This window comes from Homo sapiens, chromosome 5, assembly GCF_000001405.40.
Source record: "Homo sapiens chromosome 5, GRCh38.p14 Primary Assembly".
Lineage (NCBI taxonomy): Eukaryota > Metazoa > Chordata > Mammalia > Primates > Hominidae > Homo > Homo sapiens.
In genome coordinates, this window is record NC_000005.10 from 62,763,446 (window position 1) to 62,785,299 (window position 21,854).

The window sequence follows — 21,854 nt, forward strand, 5'->3', positions numbered from 1 at the left end:
ATCTGTGTATAATTTTTGACTCCCCCAAAACTTAACTACTAATAGCCCACTGTTGAAGCTATACAAATATCATAGATAGTCAATTTAACAGAGATATTGCAGGTTATATGTATTATATGCTGTATTCTTACAATAAGTTAAAGAAAATGTTATTAAAATCGCAGGGAAGAGAAAACATATTTACTGTTCATTAAGTGGGAGTGGATCATCCTAAAGGTCTTCATCCTTGTTGTCTTCATGTTCAATAGGCTGAAGAGGAGGAAGAAGAGGATGGGTTGGTCTTGATGTCTCACGGGTGGCAGAGGCAGAAGAAAATCCATCTGTAAGTGGACCTGTGCTGTTCAAACCCATGTTGTTCAAGGGTCACTGTAATTTTATAGGTCTTATGATTGGATAAATGTTCCTCAAATGAACTTTCAGCTTCTTGCAGTTCTTATTCCTCCTCCTCTCGCATACTCCCAACACTGGGTGCTGTAGGACCACTTATATTGTGATACAGCCTCTTGTCCTATATCTTCATGAGCCAGTGCTGGGGGAGTCGCATAGTGGCAGTAGGAATATTCTTCCTAGAAGCTATTCTTACTAGACAAGCTAGCAATAACTTAGCTGTATGTGGAAGTGGCTGTGAACCACATAAGTACATCTCATTAAATTTAAATGTATTTCCAACTCAACTTTCTCTCTTAGCTGGATCCCAAAATAACTGCAGCCACTTTAACACTCTCCTACTGCAATTGGTTGATTAAGACTGCTATTTCTTTCCACTACAACATCTGCTTGAAGAAGATGTTGAAGTAGAAGGAAACAGGGGTCCTAATCAACCAAATGCAGTTAAAATATTTTACTTTTGCATTTTTTACAAAAACATATAATCATGGTGACATTGTGAGGGCACTTTCAAGGGTCTTGGAAGGGGCCCATGCAAGTGAGGGGCCTGGAAATTCAGATTCATTAGCTTCACCACAGATCTACTTCTGTTTAACCAGTTCTTGAGTCTCTGCAGGGTCAGTAATTACAGATCAAATTAATTCATTCAGTTCTCTCAAGTGCTAGCGTTAGTCTTAGATTCTAAGAGCACTGACCTGAGAGACACATTTTCTCATTAGAATCTATTCTTCTAATTGGCAAAAATTATGTTCATACTTTATATTAGAATCTTTAAAGTAGATGAGTGACACAGTTATGATTCTAAAGAAACTTAAAGAGTGAATAACAAAGTGGCTTTAATAAAGAACTCCCCAGATCTTGTACTAGCACTTAGCTCTTTCTCCCCAATCATCTTTGGCTTCCATTCTGACATATACTACTTATGCAACATGCATACTCCCATCATTCTTGACCATATAGTTCTGCTTTTGTCTCAAAGGATGGGGCCTAACTGCGTGGTTGATTTTCACCCAAGCACCATCAATCAAAAAGGACCCTGCCATGCTTTTCTGACATATAATGTACACAGAGAAGTCCATTACTGAACAGAAAATACCTGCGAAGTTTGCTTTCTTAACTCCTCAGAAGTGATCATTTTGTTGAGCCAAGTGAGCTTTTTGGTACCACCCAGGTTCGGGATTTCATGATTCTGTGAGTCAATGGTGCTATACAGGCTGACAGTTTCAATCTTACCTGGCCAGTTGTTCAGAGTTACGGAAAACCTCACCCTCTTTATGGGGTCTCCTGGCTCAGAATTTCTGCCATATCTGGCATGGGGTGCACAAATAGAAGAATATCTTCTACTTAAAGACAGAAGATGTTGTCTGGGTCTCTGTGACTACCTGGGGGAGGGTAAGAAAGCCAACAGACTCTCCATGTGTTCCAAAAGGTAATTGAACTCAGGCGCCAAGAGAGGCAGAGGAAAAGCCAGTCTGGTAAGTTTCTGAGAATGAAAGTCCGCTAGACCATTCCCTAAGTGTGTGATTTCAGAAAAGTCACTTAACCTCCCGAGGTTCAGTTTCTCTGCTGTATGTGATAGGTGTTGTGAGGATTCAATAAATACATAAAAGGGAGGTGGTAGGAAGGTACTAGTTCAAGTTCATGTTGATTTTTTTTTTTTTAATGTTCACAATATTGGCAGGAGCAAGATAGAGAAGCTGAGAGAAAAGTTTGTGCATTGGGGGGACTGGGAAGGGAAGGGAGTGACCAAATTTAAAGTTCTATGTACATATATCTATACACATGTTTATGTATATGTATATGTGTATGTAAATATGTAGTTTTCAATAGGCCCCAAATAGCAATGTCAAGAAGAAAAATCATGCAATTTCTGGCTACTTGTAGTCTTTATTCTATGACTTGAAGACTATTGACGGCGTCTGGCTGTAAAAGTACCTCTCACTTTCTGGTGCCACCAGGAGGGCTGGGTTCTTTGGACTCAGCATAGGTTTGGGCTCCTGAACATCAACTGTGCTCTGAAGGTGTTTTTTGCACCGCATGAACTTGGAGCATCCAGAAGCTGCCGGTTTCTCAGTGCTTACGGGATTTTATTTCAGCTCTAATTTCCCCAAACCAGCACAGGTCCTAGAGGAACCTGTATGTCTTTAGCTATTTTAGTTTTTTTTCCCCACCTTGAAATTATTTCTAATAATTATATTTAATAATCTACTACCTAATATACATCAGCTGCCTGAAATAAGTAAAACAATATTTCTTGAGAATTTTGAGACTTGACACTTACCACTGAGTTTTGAATTAACACATAGCCTTTTATTTCATAGAAGGCCTTGTCAAAATTTGCTCTCATATATTATTTGAATAGAGCTGCCTAAAAGCTTTTTTTTCTTTCTTTAGTACTTTGCTAGAGAGTTGAAGGACTTCATTTTAACGTTGCAATCACTTGTTTTTAAACTTAAAATTTGAATAAATTTTTCATATTAGATTCTTCTAATTTCTGGCTATGATTTGCAAAAGATGATTTATTTTTTCATGGAACAAGATTTTCAGAAGTAATTAAAAGTAATTTCCTATTAGGGAGACCACTAACAAGACTAACACATTCTATAACTTCTTTAAGATTTAACAGCCTTTTGTATTTACTTGGCCTGGGAGATTAGGCTTTTAGTGGATAATGACTTTCATCATAACAATGAGAAAGACGGGACACTTCTATTATAACGGGCTGGGATCAAACTCTTCTATTAGAGCTTTTTAGTCTTGTTTCTGTGTTCCACATTGCTTTTTATAATTAGTTTCAAGTTTAATCATATGAAATTTGAGGGGAAAAGGAAAGGAGAACTTATGTGAAAATCCACATTTGTAAATGGATAAGTTTTAAGCTATTTAGCATAGACCTTGATGGCCTATGAAGGCAGAGATGCCCAAATGTAGAAATAAAGAGGTTTATCCCTGTGGTATAGCCATGGAATTATACTACTTTCTCCTCTAGAGATAGAGTAATATTCTGGGGCTAGAAGATTGTCCTTAAGAATAGGGACATTTTCTATGGGTGGGTATTAAACTAGATATTCTATTGTATAAAAATTCTTAATATAAAGTGGAATGTACCTTGTGAAGAGGTAACCTATAACAAAAGAATAATTGTCTTAATATATACTCTTACCGGTCAATAAGGCAGACATGAATGTTCCATTAAAAATAATGGACAGAAGTCAATATTTAAATATAAAAGAAGAAAGATACATAGTTAATAAACATAGAAAAAGATTCAATTTTATTAGTAATCAACAAATGAAAATGACAACAAAGTAAGATATCACTTTGCCTGTTAAATTTGAAGAGATCAGATCATTAATATCCCGCATTAGTGAAAGTGTGGGGACCAAACACTATTCATGCAAGTGGGGTGTGGGCGATCTGTACAAGTAGAAGCTTAGGGCAATGTAATGCACATATTAAACAAAACTTCAAAAAGCATATATATAGTCTGACTCAGCAATCCCACTTCTAGATTAATCTCAAGGAAATAATAGGACAAGTCCAAGAATATTATTGGTGGCTTTAGAAATACTTAAAAGTTATTTTAAAACATTAGTTAAATGTGTCATAGAACATTAATACAATTTAATATTTTGCAGCCACTAAAAAGAGTGATATATACATATAGCCTACTGAGAGGTAATTCTTCACGAGTCTCTCACGTTCACGTATGGCTTGAGAGTAGAGGTGCTGACTGCGTTAGCTCCAAACCAACTTTACAAGGATGCTTGCCTAGTGAACAACCTTGGAATAGAGAGACAGCATTTTCCTCCAGAGCAAAGCACTGGCATGCTTACTACCCAGTATAAAAGATTCTGATTCTTTTAAGGTTAGGGTTCTTCTCCTTTAACAAAGCCCAGGGCATGTGTGCAGGTATCACCTGGTCTTCTTTGCCCTGCAGGATTGGAAATTAATATAAGAAAATATTGACATTCTGCCTATTGTTATTTCTGTGAGTAATATTTATTGCTGACTCAGGAGTCTTGCATCTTTTATCAGTACAATGGACTGAATGTTTATGCCCTGCATAAATTCATATGTTGAAATCCTAACCCTCAAGATAATGGTATTAGGAGGTAGGATCCATGGGAGGTGTAATGGTTAATTTTAGATGTTAACTTGACTGGATTAAGCGACACCTGGATAGCTGATAAAGCATTATTTTTATGTATGTTTGTGAGGGCTTTTTCCAGTGGGATGAATAAAGAATATCACCCTCATCAATGCATCATCCAGTCAGTTTAGGGCCCAAATAGAACAAAAATGTAGTGGAAGATTTGCTCTCTCTGAGCTGGGACATCCAGCTTCTCTTGCCCTTAGATATCAGTGCTTGTGGTTCTCAGGCCTCTGGACTCATACTGAGACTTAGACTAGTGGCTCCCCTGGTTTTTGGGCTATCGGACTTGGACTGAATTATACCATTGGCTCTCCAGTGTGCAGACAGCAGATCATGGGAGTTCTCAGCCTCCATAATCACATGAACCAATTTTTATAATAAACCTTCTTAGGTATCTATCTATTCATTTATCCTACTGGTTCTGTTTCTCTGGAGAATCCTGATTAACACACCATTGTATAGTGGCTCATAATTTATTTAACCAGACTCCCATTGGTAGTTCCAGTTTTTGACTGTTACAAACAATGCTACAGTAAATCTTCTTGTATAGATACCTTGATGGATATATACCTGCAAACTAAAAACATTCTCAGATCTGTGCTGAAGTGTTTTGACCCCATGGATTGGTTGGGAGCCAGAGGCTGATTTTATAGTACTAGGTCAAAAATGTTTTTGAAAAATAAACAAAAGATATTAAATAGTATATTTAGTATGGCCTCATTTTGAATACATGAATAAGTAGAAGTCTGGAGGAAAGCTACAGAAATATTAGCAGTGGTTAATTCTGGGTTATAACCTTTATTCCTCTTTATAATCTTTCATATTTTCTGATATTTTTTGCACTATGCATGCATTACCTTTGTAATCAGAAGGGCAATAAAGTTACTAAAATTGAGAGGCAGTATGTAACAAAGCAAGGGCAGAAAATGGAATATAGACACAAGACATCAAAAGATGTGAATTAAAGGCTTCATGTTAAAGAAATGATGTGACAGATTTTAATTAAAATTGTTGGAGGCAGGCTTAGTATTTCTTGAGTTCAGGGGAAAGAAATGCTTCCCAATAGAGCAAATGTGGGGATTAGCAAACAGAGATACACATTTATTCTTTTATTCATTCTGCATTCTTATTTTTTTCTTATATTTACTAATCCATTCTATTTCTCTACTAGTTACTGTATGCCTAATCCTGCTTTAGATGCTATATAAGATGCAATATCAAGAACAGGTAATAATATGTAAAGCAACTAATAATATGCTTGATAGTAATTTTACCTAGAAATGGCTCCCAGTTTGTGGTTAATTGAGGACATTATTTTCTGTTTTACTGTTCTTTTGATCATCTTTATTACTCACTATTCTGTTTTCTACAATTGTGTGGATTTGTGAAAGAATGCCGACATAAAATGAAGAGTCATTAATTCAGCCACATGCTGATCAAATGAGTGTCTTGCAGAGAAATTAAGGTGAGTCCCTTGACACTTTAGCTGCTGATTTTTGAAAAAAAATGCAGGTGTGCATAAAATGATTTATTGATTAACAGACAGCTAGCAGTTTAAATGGAAATTTCCCCTTAGCTAGCAGTTTATATGAAAATGCGTATGATGCGTATGATGACAGCACTGAATTTGCACATTTTCTGGTTAGCAGTTGATATGGTTTGGATGTTTGTCCCTTCCAAATCTCATGTTAAAATTTGATCCCTAATGTTGGGCCAACATTAGGGGCCAGGTGGGAGGCGTTTGGATCATGAAAGTGGATCCTTTAAAAACTTCTTGGTGCCACAGCAAAATAAACTATCATCAGAATGAACAGGCAACCTACAGAATGGGAGAAAATTTTTGTAATCTATCCATCTGACAAAGGGCTAATATCCAGAATCTACAAAGAACTTAAGCAAATTTATAAGAAAAAAGCAAACAACCCCATCACAAAAAGGGCAAAGGATATGAACAGACAATTCTCAAAAGAAGACATTTATGCAGCCAACAGACACATGAAAAAATGCTCATCATCACTGGTCATTAGAGAAATGCAAATCAAAACCACAGTTGAGATACCATCTCACACCAGTTAGAATGGTGATCATTAAAAAGTCAGGGAACAACAGATGCTATAAAGGTTGTAGAAAAATAGGAACACTTTTACACAGTTGGTGGGAGTGTAAATTGTGGAAGACAGTGTGGAACCATTGTGGAAGACAGTGTGGCAATTCCTCAAGGATCTAGAACTAGAAATACCATTTGACCCAGCAATCCCATTACTGGGCATATAGCCAAAGGATTCTAAATCATTGTAAGATAAAGGCACATGCACATGTGTTTATTGCAGCACTATTCACAATAGCAAAGACTTGGAAACAACCCAAATGTCCATCAGTGATAGACTGGATTAAGAAAATGTGGCACATATACACCATGGAATACTATGCAGCCATAAAAAGGATGAGTTCATGTCCTTTGCAGGGACATAGATGAAGCTGGAAACCATCATTCTCAGCAAACTAACAGAGAAACAGAAAACCAAACACCACATGTTCTCACTCATAAGTGAGAGTGGAACAATGAGAACACTTGGACACAGGGAGGGGATCATTACACACTGGGGCCTGTGCGTGTTGGGGGCCTGGGGGGGGATAGCATTAGGAGAAATACCTAATGTAGGTGATGGGTTGATGGGTTCAGTAAACCACCATGGCACGTGTATACCTATGTAACAAAACTGCACCTTCTCCACATGTAACCCTGAACTTAAAGTATTAAAAAAACAAAACAAAAACTTCTTGGTGCCATCCTGGAGGGTAATGAGTGAGTTCTCATGCTATTAGTTCCCCTGGGAGCTGTTGTTAAAAATAGCCTGGTCTGGCACCTCCTCCCATCTTTGCTTCTTTTCTCGCCATGTGATGCCTGTTCCCATCGCCTCCCACTGTGAGTGGAAGCTCCCTGAGACCCTCACCAGAAGTAGATGTTGGTGCCATGCTCCTTGTACAACCTGTAGAACTGTAAGCCAAATAAATCTCTTTTCTTTATGAATTACCCAGCCTCAGGTATTCCTTTATAGCAATCCAAAATGGACTAAGACAGAAGCTGTCAAATTTAGACCTTCACACTTAACCTCTGTAGCAGGGAACTATTTTCTATTAATATTCTTTTTTAAACCTCTTCTCACCAGTAAAAATGAGTGTTCTGATTTTCAGGAATGCCATCTTGTGTCTTCTCTTCATTTGAGTCTTTTGTGTGGGTAACGTTAATGAGTCCCTCTGACTCTGTCATGACATATCTGACCTAGTACTCTGGAAAGAATATATCCTTTTAGTATACAGAAAGTCCTGGTAGGTCAGGAAGAATTTAGTTTATTCAAGTGGAGACATTCAGTTCATGCTGGGAGAAGTTAGTTTATTTGTTAAGTTTGTGGTGAGACTTTAAATTCTCACATTAAGTTTGACAGAGTAGTTGATGATATTTGGTCATGTTTTGGCTTCCTAACAGCCTCTGGCTGACTTAAAAATAAATCATTACAGACAGACCATTAAGTTTTATGAACTATGAATGTGCTTAAAAACCCATTTTAATGAAATGCTCAAAGTTTCTCCATGGGCCATTGCTTTTACCTGAGCCATGACTACATTTCAAATCCTACTGACCATTTCAAAGGTGATTATTCCACTCAGATGATAGCATGACTGGTGCCTTTGTAAAGCATTGACTGTGTTTGACCTCACAGCGAGGTGAGGTTGAAAACTTTGGTAGTATTACAGCAGTTCCCGCTTATCTGCGGGGATACGTTCCAAGACCCTCAGTGGATGCCTGAAACTGTGGATAGTACCAACCCTATATATACTAAGTTTTTTCATATACATACATAGCTATGATAAAGTTTAATTTATAAATTAGGCAGAGTATGAGATTAACAACAATAAGAAGGTAGAACAATTATAACAATATACTGTAATAAAAGCAAAATAAGGGTGACTTGAACCCTGTACTTCTATTGCACTGCAATATTGCAACAGTGATCCGATAACTGAGATGGCTTCTAAATGCCTAATAGGTGGGCAGGGTCTACAGAACAGATACACTGGATGAGGGATAATTCATCTCCAAAGCAGGATGGAGCTGAATGCTGTTCAATTAAAATCTTGTGAATTATTTCTTGAATTTTCCATTTAATATTTTTGGACCTTGGTTGGCCATGTGTAACTGAAACCACAGAAAATGAAACTATAGATAAGTGGTGGTGGTGGGGGGGCTACTGTACTGAGTATTTGTTAACTAAGTATTTGTAAAACTTTTGGTTATGGTGTGTGATTAAATTCCTTCTGACTGCATAAATGCTATGGTCTATGAAAAATGATGATTAAAAAGATTGTTTTTTGTTCACAACATTTATTTTATTATGTATTTATTTTTATTTAAGTTTTTCTTTTTTAGAGATAGGGTCTTTTATGTTGCCTAGGCTGGCCTCGAACTCCTAGCTTTAAGGAACTCCTGGGTTCAAGCGATTCTCCTGCCTCAGCCTCCATAGTAGATGGGACTACAGGAACATGCCATGGTGCCCAATCTACGTTTTTTAAAAAGTGAACTTTGTTTCCTCTAAAACAATAACTTGTCTCCAAATTTTTTTTGCTATTATGCACAAGGTGACGTAGATTCTTATTTTATAAAATCTGGAAAAAAAAATGGAAAGGAGTTTATCATGGTGGTTAGTAATTGAGTTTCTGTTCTGGTTGCACTATTTAAAGCTGCGTGATAGTAATTTAGGTGCCTAGATCCTCTGAGATTTCCTTTAAAATGAGAACAGCACCAGTATCATAGGTTATAAGTTACAAACTTATAAGTTACTATATATCTCTATATATGTATGAAAATGTATTGCTATTGTTGTTTTCACTGATATTTATATAGCAACTAGACTAGGCATCAAATTATTTTACAAAGAGCCTTATTATGGTTTCTCTATTCATTGGAAGCAGCATAGATGAGGAAGTTGCAGGGCCTAGGAATTTGATATTGATGAAGAAGCCCCATTTTCTTTCTATGTTCAATTATCTGGGTCCCCTCTCTTTTTTCTCCTTTGCTTAAAAAATACACCTTACCCACAAACCCTCTTTATCAAGACTCAGCATGCTTCAAGGTGACTTTATGGCCTTTGCTAAGACCCCCTGACCAAAGACCGTCAGAAACACAGCTACAGTAAAAATAAAAGGGTTAAATTTAATAGTTTGCCTCAGCAGGGAAGCATGCACACCGTGGATGACCTTGGGAAGTTCATCTTCAATTTACCCTTCTGTAACTTCCCTTTGGAAGTTAGAGAAGGGTAAATCTAGAGTTTTGAGGACTAGAGTTAGTCACCGAATAGTCCTGATGGGGACTAGTAGAATTTGTCAGCTAGGGTGAGCCTGTGTCTTATCTTGGAAGATAGGGCCCGAGCAAGTTGCCATTAAAGAATCTGAGCTTAGACTGTTTTCTTGATGCCACAATTTGGTCCAGTTTTGCAAGCTGTGAGTTCTGTTTCAATTCTCGGTTACCATCTTCTGGTCATTCTTCAGTCTAAACTGAAGGAGAGACCATTGTCTCTGGGACATGATCTATCAGATCTGCACTATTGTCTGGAGTCTGTTGATTAGAAGATTGCTCAGAGAATGTCATCTGCAGTTGAACTAGAGTTAGTCCCTCATGTTTCTTTAGTTGCAGAATGACCTGTTGCATCATCTGGTATGCCAGTGACTATACCGCAGCATTTCAGACTCTGGAGACATATACCTGGCACCTGCCAGATAGGCAAAACTAGGACAAGGATTATTACTACAGTTTGAAACATGCCCGTAACTGATTTAGATGTCCCTTTAATTTTGATATAGATTGTTTGACTTTGCCAATACCTGAGTAATTAGTCCTTAACCCAGTGGTTTGTTAGGGGTAAAGTTCTTGAGATTACCATGATTAAAAATGGAGATGTCTACTAACAATTAATTTATAACCTTAATCCAGCAGGAACAAAACAATGCAATGCAGCACATGGTAATCAGTGGTTTCTGCCTCTGGAGAGGTTTGTTTTCAAAGTACTGGGTGGAAGTCATCTTCAATACTCAGGCTGAAGAGTCCTAGAAATCATCATTCAGTCACAGGAGACTCTTCATGGTGCTGATGTTAATGGTGCCTGGGGATTACTCCCCTGTAGTATTAATAGACCAGGGTACCTGGTATAATCCTTTATTGAGGTTCTTTTGTTATTACTTCTACTATGGAAGATTCAGACCCTGATCTTACGCTTATGGCAGGGCCTTTTAGGTGAATATAAGGAAAAAGCAGAGATCATTTTCCATAATATGATTAAATGGCTCTGATTATTTTTTGTAATAAGTAACAACATTAGAGTGAAGGGGAGTGGAATTCTATAATAATTAATAATACAAAATGCTCTTATAAGAACTTAGTCCTTATAAGATTTTCCTAGAATTAGAACATGTTATGGACTGTGAAGGTATTGACAAATCTCTAGGCCTTCAATTTATCTCCAAAAGTATACTACGAATGTTACCAGTTGACAAGTATGTTTTAACAGAAAGGCAAAAATATTTTGTATATAGTTATTATATCAGTCTTTTATGTGAACATGTGTGTTTCTTTATATCTGAAAGGCATGTGACTATTGGAACATATTTATATTAACTCATTCTACTTTTATATAATCTTGGAAGTCTGAATTTTTCTTTTGACTTTACCCTCCCAAGGAAAATAAAACTTATCTTATGGAAAAATTTTTTTCAAGGTAACTGTGCCAACAGTTTGAGTAAACTTGGAAGATTCTGCAATGAGTAAACACTGCCCTATAGTCTTGGAAGAAGACTCAAACGTTTTACTCAAATTAATTATTTACATCTTTTAATTGGTAATAAATTCAATTGAATATGCGTATAAGCTTTGCAAGCTTCATTCCCACTCAAAAATAACAAATATATTCAGGTTGCTTTTTAAATTTAAAAAGTGAATATGTTGAGTCAGCTCTTGATTAATATTTGTTGATTCAAAAATACTGCCCAAAATTTACAAGTTGCTGATATTTTTGAGCAGAGAACCCAGATCATGAACCCAATGGTTTTAAAAGCCTAATTTTAATTTTTTTTCCTTCTCTATTTGCTATCCAAGTTTCAAAATTTGTTATTTGCTACTCAAGTGACAGTGTTAATAAAATGTGAAATTTGTTCTTATAATAACATGGAACCATTTCAGAAATAAGTTTAGTTTTATCTTGACATTTGTTTGACAATGGGAGACCATTATTGGATTGCAGGCTCACATCTGTCTAAGTTATTGTCTAATTAACCTGAAATATGCTTGCAGAGGCATAATTTTCTCTATATCATTGTTTCCCAACTTTTTTTTTTAATCACAAAGAGGACACATTTTTTTAAATTGACAACTCAATCTCTACATACATACAGTATTGCATGAATTATAAGTGGATCCAACAATCATATTATTGATACAAACTCATGAGCATTTGCATAAAGCTATTGCTCTAGGTTTTGGTGTGTTTTGTGCCAGCTACTTTAGTGAATAAACTAAACATAAAGGAACTCAGCTACTTGAATTCATGAGAATCAGCTTTCAAAAAAAGCATATATATCATCTCATAGAATACTTAATATGTCAAACCCAGGAAAATCAGTAACTAAGTGACAAAAGGAACACTTTTAAAGAAAAGTTGGTGATAAATATGTTAGGCTAAAATACTAAGAACTTTAGCAACTGGACCGAGGAACCAGAAAGTGTATGCACACTGGGAATTTTAACAAAAGATCCCCATGTTCTCCTGCACAGTGAGGACCACATTCCAAAAGCAGAATTCTGGGTTGCTACAATGTCATCTCTCCTACAAACCACTGTTTCAAAGGTGAAAGAAACAAGAGGTAATTCACATAAAAAGGTTTTAAAATTCTTCCCACTCAAAATAAAATAAAAATAATATAACCTGTATCAAATTATAAAGAAATTCTATTAAAATGTTGACCACATAAAGCAGTCAGACCATTTGCCTTCGCTGACTGCCTCAGAGGGCAGAGCATGTGTCACCTACAAGGAAGGGGAGAGAGGGGTAGAGTCCCTACTCTCCCCCGGCCTGTAGAGTCAGGGTGGAGAGGAGCCCTTTGGCTTCCCTGGGGTTTTGTTTCCTCACATAGGGAATTGAGGGAGGTGGGCTAGATGGCTTTAAGAGACTCCTCAACTAAAAGAATCAAAGTCAGCTTGAGATCCCATCTCTGAACAGACATATAGGGTGGCAAAAGAAATGGATTAAAAAACAGGTGGATGACGTCTTTCTCACCTTTTGATACCATCACTCAGAACTAATCTGTACTATAGTTGAAGAAAATCTTTGCCTGGTACTATTAAAGGGTATACAATGAGGCAGCTGACAATGAAATTTTTCATAAAAATGTATAAAAAGGCTATGTTAAGTTCGGGTGGAAAAAACAATGCACCACCATATTACTACCAGCAGTCAGGACGTCCTGTCTCGGATTTTAGGAGTCGCCGATCTGGTTGGGAGAAATGCTGAGGGAAGCTCAAGCCATTCAATAGCGATCTAAGGAGTGCACACAGTTCAGGAAAGGGATAAACAGGTGTCCAGGAAGGCAACTTTAATGAAACTGGTTCTAAAACAAAGGATGCAAGAGATCTAAATGATCCAAAAAGAGTGATGACTTCTCATTTTGTCCCCTACAGAGAATACAAATATCATTTCTTCCGGAATCCAACACACTGGCTTCATTTTCAAGATGTATCACTTTATTTTCCAGCACGTGACAGTCACATGATTTCTGCAGTGAGCCCCAAAGCTTCCACGAGCTTTCCTGGAACCTACGGCCAGAAGAGTCCTGAGATTTCGAATATTAAAGCTTTCTCCACAGCCACAAGTCCCTTTGATGTTTGGGTTATTGAACACAAACTCACTGGATAATTTGTCTTCAACATAGTCCATTTCTGTTCCTAAAAGTGTTAGCTGTGCTTTCTTTTCGATGAATACTCTGACTCCATCTTGAATAACTTCTTCATCAGAATCTCCTTTTGTCTTTGTATATTCTAGAGTATAAGAAAGGCCATTACAGCCCCTGGTTCGGACACCAACTTTTACACCTACATGCTCAGGCTTATCTTTAAGAAGTTGTTTTATCTTGTTTACTGCTGAAGGTGTCAGGGTGAGGGCTGCCCGGGTGGGCTGCAGCTTCCTCTTGCTCACAGCCCGGGCAGTTGCCCGGACTAAGGAAGGCGACATTTTCGCCGTCCCGGCGCCCCGGTGCCTGGGGCCGGAGGTTGGCTGCCTCAGCCTCTCTCCACGGACACGGCGGGCGCATTGGTTTCCCAACTTTTAAATTGTGCCTCTCATTAGCAAAATAGTTTGACAATGTCTCTCTCTAAAATGTGTGCATATTCCTTTTTTCTTCAAATCATATACATATAGTATTGTTATTCTGTATATTAAATACTAAGAAAGTCTAATTTCTAATTTTTGAGATAAAAGTATGAACAGAAATTCTATTATTTTAAAATTTTCTGGAGTATGTAACTTCACTTTGGAAACTGTAGTCCTATATTTCTGATTTGTAATAATTTTCCTGCTCTAATATTTCTTTGGGATACAACTTTTTTTCTGTCATTTGAACACCATGGAGCAGTGGCTCTCACCTGAGGGCAGAATCTGACGGCAGTTGCCTAAGAACTAGAGTTTAAAAAGGCCTGTCCGTGATCCTGATCCACCTCCCCCAGGACCACTGTATTCACCACCCAGCTACCCCATCTCATGAAGACGGTGACTAGTAGTAGCAACATGGCCTTAACATACCTTACCTGGGTAGCAAAATGGCATGACTAGCAATTTTTTATGCAGATTGTACTTGCCTAGATGTGGTAGAAAAACAGTGAGGCAGAATAATAAAAAAAAATTTGTGTCCTACTGAAAAAAGCTTACATGAAAAACTTTTAAAAAGAAGGGGTTTACATCTGTGTGTATTTAATGCAGTGGTCACTGTGCAATGCCACATGCAATTGTGTCTCTCTGTGAGCCAGGAGTTTTGCTGAGTATGTGTAAGTGGGTAAACTTAATGGTTATTTTGTAGCATCATTTTTTAAATGTGGTGGGAGAATCTGTGATTTAAGGAGTTTTATGGCGAATCTCATTTTGTGATGTAAATAGTCATTTTTTGAGTATAAATCCAAATTTTTGTATGCTGTTGGCCTAATGAGTTCCCTATCATAGACAATATTAGGTGATGGCAGGGAGGTGGGACTCCAAGGCTTTCATTGTACATGTAAATTAGAATGGCTAATTGAAGCAGATATCCAGATAATTCAGACCAAACTCTCCCTTTTTGTTTGAAATATACTTGGCTGAGTTGTTTAAAAAAACAAAAAACAAAAAACAAATCTGTGCTTCTTTTCTTAACCACGACCTCAGCAATCGTGAGCAAAATGTCTGAGGGAGTGTTCTAACAGGCCTAAGAGGAAGCTCTTAAAAGAGAGACCTGTGGTCATATAGACTTGAGAAACACTTCCTACTTGTCCCTTCTTTTGGAGAGTCATCATGCATTACAGACTATGAAAAGTCCTGCACAAAGGAAAACTTTTGAACTTAGTTTAACCCAGTGTTTTCTAAACTTCTGTGACAGACAACCCTTTATTTACATAAAATTTGCTAACTTACAGTCAAACTGGTGTTCTTTGAAAGTCCATTTTGAGAAATGCTGGTATAAATTAAAGCGGTATTTATATAGCCACAAGTGCTAAGAGTGCTAGTCAGTAATCCTAAGAAGCCAAGGATGATGGGGCATGAATGTCCACAGTTTCATACTGCTGCCACTGGTAGTTTGAGGGATTTGCTAAGGGGATCCTCCAGGCAAACACTGGGTTTATAATGGTTAGGCTTTATCCCCAAAGAGAAAAATAACCACTTAGTGGGCTGAGATTGGCCCATTAGTTTTCCCAGAGTCTCTTTTTCTCCTGAGCATCTCCTCCCACCCCAAATTTTTGCAACTTTTTAAGGGGATGAGAGGGATGGGGTGGAGCATCTTTTCCCAAGTGGAGAGATCCCAAGGGCTCTGTCATGCAACACCGGGAAAACAGAAAACGTTAAGTAGAGACAAAGCCTTGAGCTCCCCCTAGAGGTAAGTATCTGATCATCTCTACTGTGGCAAGACACGAAAATACCATTTGTTTTTTTTTAAGATTTACATATCATGGACATCATTTAAAGTTCGATTTAAGAATCACCTGAATATTTTAGTTAAAAAGTAAAAGAGTAGTTATCTTTTAATATTAGTGCTTATTTGAGTTTAGATATTATTTTATAACTTACATTGTACCTCTCATCAGCGAAATAGTTTGAAACTGTCTCACTGTAAGTGTATATATTCTTTTTTCAAAATATGTACATGTAGTATTGTCATTCTGTATATTAAGTATTAAGAAAGTCTAATTTCCCTACAGCTGTTACAATGTTTACCAATAGCTACTCCTGTCTAAGGGCTATGAACTAGTCGGAATCTGCATGTTTTTGGTCAGAAACAGCCACATAGGGTCAGTACAGATGACCCAATCTGCAAATACTATGTCTTATGGAAACATAACTTTGGTTAATGTGACTTTTATGAGGATTTCGAATGCAAATTCTTCATCCTTATTCCCAAACTGAGCCACTGATGCACATTTATTTATTTATTTATTTCCTTTATTTATTCACCTGTATTTGGTAAACAGCAGGCACTTCTCTCAAATGTTATGACATTAAGGGATGCCTTACGACATTCCCTTAGGGTGCCTATGACATTTGTGATTCTGTTAAGATCACTTTGGCATTATGGTTGGTCTAACTTTGTTCACGAATGTGTTGTGTTCTGTTTTTATGATGTTTATGACCAGAGATGAAAGTAGGCTGTGCTCAGAGAGCTGGTCCCTGTTTAGCCTATCTCCTCCCACATTGTGATTTGGAGAAAATCATTTTCTCCAAAAGTTTTTCAGGGCCTTGGCATTTTATTTATTAATCATGAGATGCTGGCTGGGCGCGGTGGCTGATGCTTGTAATCCCAGCACTTTGGGAGGCCGAGGTGGGCAGATCACCTGAGGTCAGGAGTTTGAGACCAGTCTGACCAACATGGTGAAATCCCGTCTACTAAAAATATGAAATTAGCTAAGCATGGTGGCACACGCCTGTAATCCCAGCTGCTTGGGAGGTTGAAGCAGGAGAATCACTTGAACTGGGGAGGTGGAGGTTACAGTTAGCCGAGATCGTGCCATTACACTCTAGCCTGGGCAAAAAGAGCGAAACTCCGTCTCAAAAAAAATAAATAAAAATAAAAAAAAAATCATGAGACGCTACAATATCCAAAGGTGGACCCACACTCTTACTTATGCTAATGGAAGGGCAGTCCCACGTGGTAGCACATTGAGGCACATGTATCCTCAGGCGTGTGGGGAAGGTGCCGACGGGTCAGCAAAGTCACCATATGATTATAGCACGCCTCCCTAAAGGTTCATATTTCTCAGAGATGTAGGAGGAGGCCGTATTGTTTTGACATTAAAACCAAGACAAATTTGCTTGGGAGCAAATTAAAAAGACATGGAGGTTTACCACAAAACAAGAATGAATTTGGAAGCTTCCAACAGGCCCCAGGGCATACATTCACCGCTCTTTACAGTTAGTGGTGTTCCAATAGAAAGGCTTGAGAAGTGTTGCCTTGGGCCCCAGAGCCCGGGGTGACACCAGTGTGCCTGGAAGCCCACTCCAAGCTTGATCACAGCGTCATCTTCAAGCTCACTCGGGGTCACTGTACGTCTCTTCTCCCTACACGAGGGTTGTGGCATCTATTACACCACTACTGTGTGCCAGGCTGGGTGCCAAGCCCTTTATATACATTTACTCTTTGCAGGGGTCCTATGGTAAGAGCTGTTATCCCATTTTACAGATGACAAAACCAAGACACGAGGAATTGAAGTTTCTGTATTTGCCCTGTCAGTGAGTGCCTGAGGCAGAAACTGAATGCTTGGTCTGTTTAACTCTCCAGTGTGCAGTTCCAGCTCCAACCCTGTGGGAATGCTGGCTAGGCTGCTTCCTAGCGGTGAAGCGATGGGAGCGCAGGAGCGGAGCGGAGCTGGGGAATCCCACTCCTCCCATTCCTAGCCTGAATTTTAAGGGCTGAGCAGTATCAGTGGTGGTGTACCATGATTGCATTATCAATCTGCCTTTACAGAATCCAGGAGATATTCCACTGTGCACAGTTTGACGTAAGTCTTTTTTTTTTTTTTTTTTTTTGAGACGGAGTCTTGCTCTGTCGCCCAGGCTGGGGTGCAGTGGCGCGATCTCGGCTCACTGCAAGCCCCACCTCCCGGGTTCACGCCATTCTCCGGCCTCAGCCTCCCGCGTAGCTGGGACTACAGCGCCCACCACCACGCCCGTCTAATTTTTTGTGTTTTTAGTAGAGACGGGGTTTCACCGTGTTAGCCAGGATGGTCTCGATCTCCTGACCTTGTGATCCGCCCGCCTCGGCCTCCCAAAGTGCTGGGATTACAGGCGTGAGCCACCGCGCCCGGCCTGATGTAAGTCTTATATTTCAAAGTTTTATCATTTTGCCGAGTCGTGGTGAGCACAGTACCATAATTCACTCTATGGCCCAAAAGAGGAGGTCCCAGATAAATAAAGTGCTTGGAGGTTTTTAGGTCGTTTGTGCTGCTAAGTCAGAAAATGGAGAATGAAGACAATTTAGCACAACTTAAGAAATATGAATCGGGTGCTCACTATACACTAGCACTGGGCCCTACAGCTAGAAGAGATAGACATGCATACAAATCCCCTTTTTTTTTTTTTTTTTGCAGTTAAATGCTATGAGAAAGATAAAGTAATACCTTTTATCTTGGGTATTTTCTAGTTCATATTCTCAAAGAAGATCACTTCTTCTTTGATTTTGAGGGAGGTGGGCAGAGTATGCCCAGGTCAAGGTCCCTATCATTTGTTGGGGGCAGCATTGGACGACATCGTAGTTTCTTGGAGGTTCACAGTGGCTTTCTGTGGAGCAGGCACCAAGATTGAGGCAGTTCACGCATCACTTATTAAGACAAATTCCCTTTGTCTAGCACTGTGACTGTTGGCCTGATGAAGGGAAATTGTGAAAAATTTTGCTTGTTTCAGAATTTCAGCTTCCCGTTCTGGCCATCGCCTTGCCTCTGCTAATGTTATTTGTGTCCCAAGGTTTGAAATTATTTGGTTTATTAAGGGAGCCTGATATAAGGTGCTCCGTCAGTGTCATCTCATCTCCTAAATACTGCCCGCAGTTCCAGGAGGAAGGGATTTAATAGACTCTCGTTCCTTTAGGAAGCTTAATTTGAAATTCATTTGGGCACAGAAATTTTATGGGTACAATCAGATCCAGATATTGCTTAATGAAGTTCTAGGCAGATGTACAGTGAATGATCTGTGCCTACTCCAAATCCTCAGTTACGCTCCTCTGATATACCATTAACTTTTAGAAAACCTGAATCTATGACCCAAATTCTAATTAATCCTAAGAATAATGAGGTACAAAGGCATTATTTTTTCCTTTTTTAAGTTTTCTTTCTCTTGCTAACAAAGAATTTTAAATTGTGGCTCTAGCATTTAAGTGCATACATTTTGAATTTACAAAGTATGGAGAATAACATGAAATCATCAGCAGGTCAATGAATTAGATTTTATTTCTGTGTGTGTGGTAACATTAAACATCTATGGTACAACTTTCATTTATTCTTGTGTCAACTATTGCTTAGAGTAATTCAGTATCATAATCTATATTTAACTTATTCTACTTTATAAAGGACTTTAAAATAACATACATTATCTTCCATAACATATGCTATGACATTGGTATTATTATCCCCACTTCGTACTTGAGGACACTGAAATTTAGGAAAGATTAGTTAACTTGCCTAATTTCACACAGTTGTGGTCCTAGGAAAGAAACATATATTTTAATAGCCAGCCCAGGTTTTTTTTTTTCCATTAAATGATCAGATTCTCTGCTATTATGTTTTTGGTTTTAGTTAATAGACATATTGGTTGCTATTGACATTTGGCACATCTGGCTTGCTGTTCTTAATGACCAGTGGGCTCTGGGCACTCAAATATCGACCAGTGCCAGACAGCTAATGTCAATGAGTGTGGTGGGCTGGGTGTCAGAACAAGGAGTGGTGGGGACAATGGCAAATTGGAGAGTGTACACTCCATTTAAAAAAGGGTTCCCTTACCTATTCCCACTGGGCATGCTGGCCTGGTGTTGCAAAATATTCTAAAATTTTAAGAGGAGCCAGAGATCTGGATTTTGTGTGGAATCTCTCCATTCTAAGTGTTGGCAACCAAATTTTTTTTTCCCTTTTAAACTCTGCAAGCCAAACAAAACCCATCTATTAGGTGGATTCAGTTCATGACTGCTAGTTGTGACATGGGCTTGCTTTTTACTTTTTTGGAGGTACATGTGAAGGAGGAGTGAGTGGGTGGGGTAAGGCCAGCATCACTTACTCGGGCTATAGATGGTTCTTTTCCTGAAGCCAGGAAGTCTGAGCAAAGCTGGGGAGCCTGTGGGTTTCCGGGCTGCTTAATGTGGGCTATTCTGGGACTGCCTTCTTCTTCCAGAACTATCTGAAATGAGGGAGACTTCCTTATAATTAGGGGCTGACCACTGAGCTCCGTGGCATTGCCCACTCTCCAGTAGTTAGTTGAACTTTGTTTAGTATCTTTATTATTATTTCTTTGCTTCCTTCATTTCTTTCCTCTTCTTGGGAGATTTCATTTTCAGCTGCAATCAGTAACATTTGCAATGAAACTGAAAATCAACTGAAACTGTTGCAAATGAAACTGAAATGAGTAACATTTGCAATCTTCCGAGACAGAAGACTTTAGAAGAGGGTGAACTTTTTTTGTTGTTGTTATTGTTATTCTTTAAGTTCTGGGGTACATGTGCAGAACATGCAGGTTTGTTACATAGGTATACGCCTGCCATGGTAGTTTGCTGTACCCATCAACCTGTCATCTATATTAGGTATTTCTCCTAATGCTATCCCTCCCCTAGCCCCCCACCCCCCGACAGGCGCCAGTGTGTGATATTCCCCTCCCTGTGTCCATGTGTTCTCATTGTTCGACTCTCACTTACGAGCGAGAACATGTGGTGTTTGGTTTTCTGTTCCTGTGTTAGTTTGCTGAGAATGATGGTTTCTACCTTCATCCATGTCCCTACAAAGGACACGAACTCATCCTTTTTTATGACTGCATAGTATTCCACTGTATATATGTGCCACATTTTCTTTATCCAGTCTATCACTGATGGGCATTTGGGTTGGTTCCAAGCCTTTGCTATTGGGAATCGTGCTGCAGTAAACATACGTGTACATGTGTCTTTATAGTGGAATGATTTATATTCCTTTGGGTATATACCCAGTAATGAGATTGCTGGGTCAAATGGTATTTTTGGCTCTAGATCCTTGAGGAATCACCACACTGTCTTCCATAAAGGCCGAATTAATTTACGTTCCCGCCAACAGTGTAAAAGCATTCCTATTTCTCCATATCCTCTCCAGCATCTGTTGTTAGAAGAGGTCTAACTTGTTTTAAACTAGATTTCCTTTTGTTTGTGTGATCTATGGATTTTATTTATTCAGTTTCCTGTCCCTGCAAGCACAGAAAGTTGAAAACTAATTTGATTCAATTTTCCCAGATGCAATCTCATGTGTATTTTATGTTAGTTTTTAAGGTTTTTGAATTTTAACCAAACTCGGCACAAAGTGACTATGTTACTGTTATACGCCACATGCTCCGCTGCACAAATACATAAGCATTAGACTTAGGTTTTTCTCTATTGTAAAGAAATTCAGACCTTCTCTGAGTGTCTAATAAAATTCCATCTAGATTAACATGTGCTTTTGACCAAGAGATTCTTTTACTGTATCAATGTAATGGTTTGAACATTTTTCATCTTTGGAGATATGATGAAAAGGTGGCAAAAGCATGTAATGAAGAAGGTTCAGAAACTCTAGAATTAAAACCTATTATTTACTGAGCACTTATTATTTGCCAGGCACTGTGCTAATACTTCACAGTCATCCCACATTATCTCATTTAATCCGTTAAACCATGTGTAATATACCTATCAGTTATACTTTAAAGATGAGAAAATTGGCCGGGCACGGTGGCTTACGTCTGTAATCCCAGCACTTTGGGAGGCCGAGGTGGGCGGATCACGAGGTCAGAAGATGGAGACCATCCTGGCTAGCACGATGAAACCCCGTCTCTACTGA

General features: G+C 38.5%; 1 pseudogene; it reads right to left on the reverse strand.

Moving 5' to 3' along the window:
* On the reverse strand, nucleotides 11,924-13,898 carry ISCA1P1 (iron-sulfur cluster assembly 1 pseudogene 1; annotated as a pseudogene).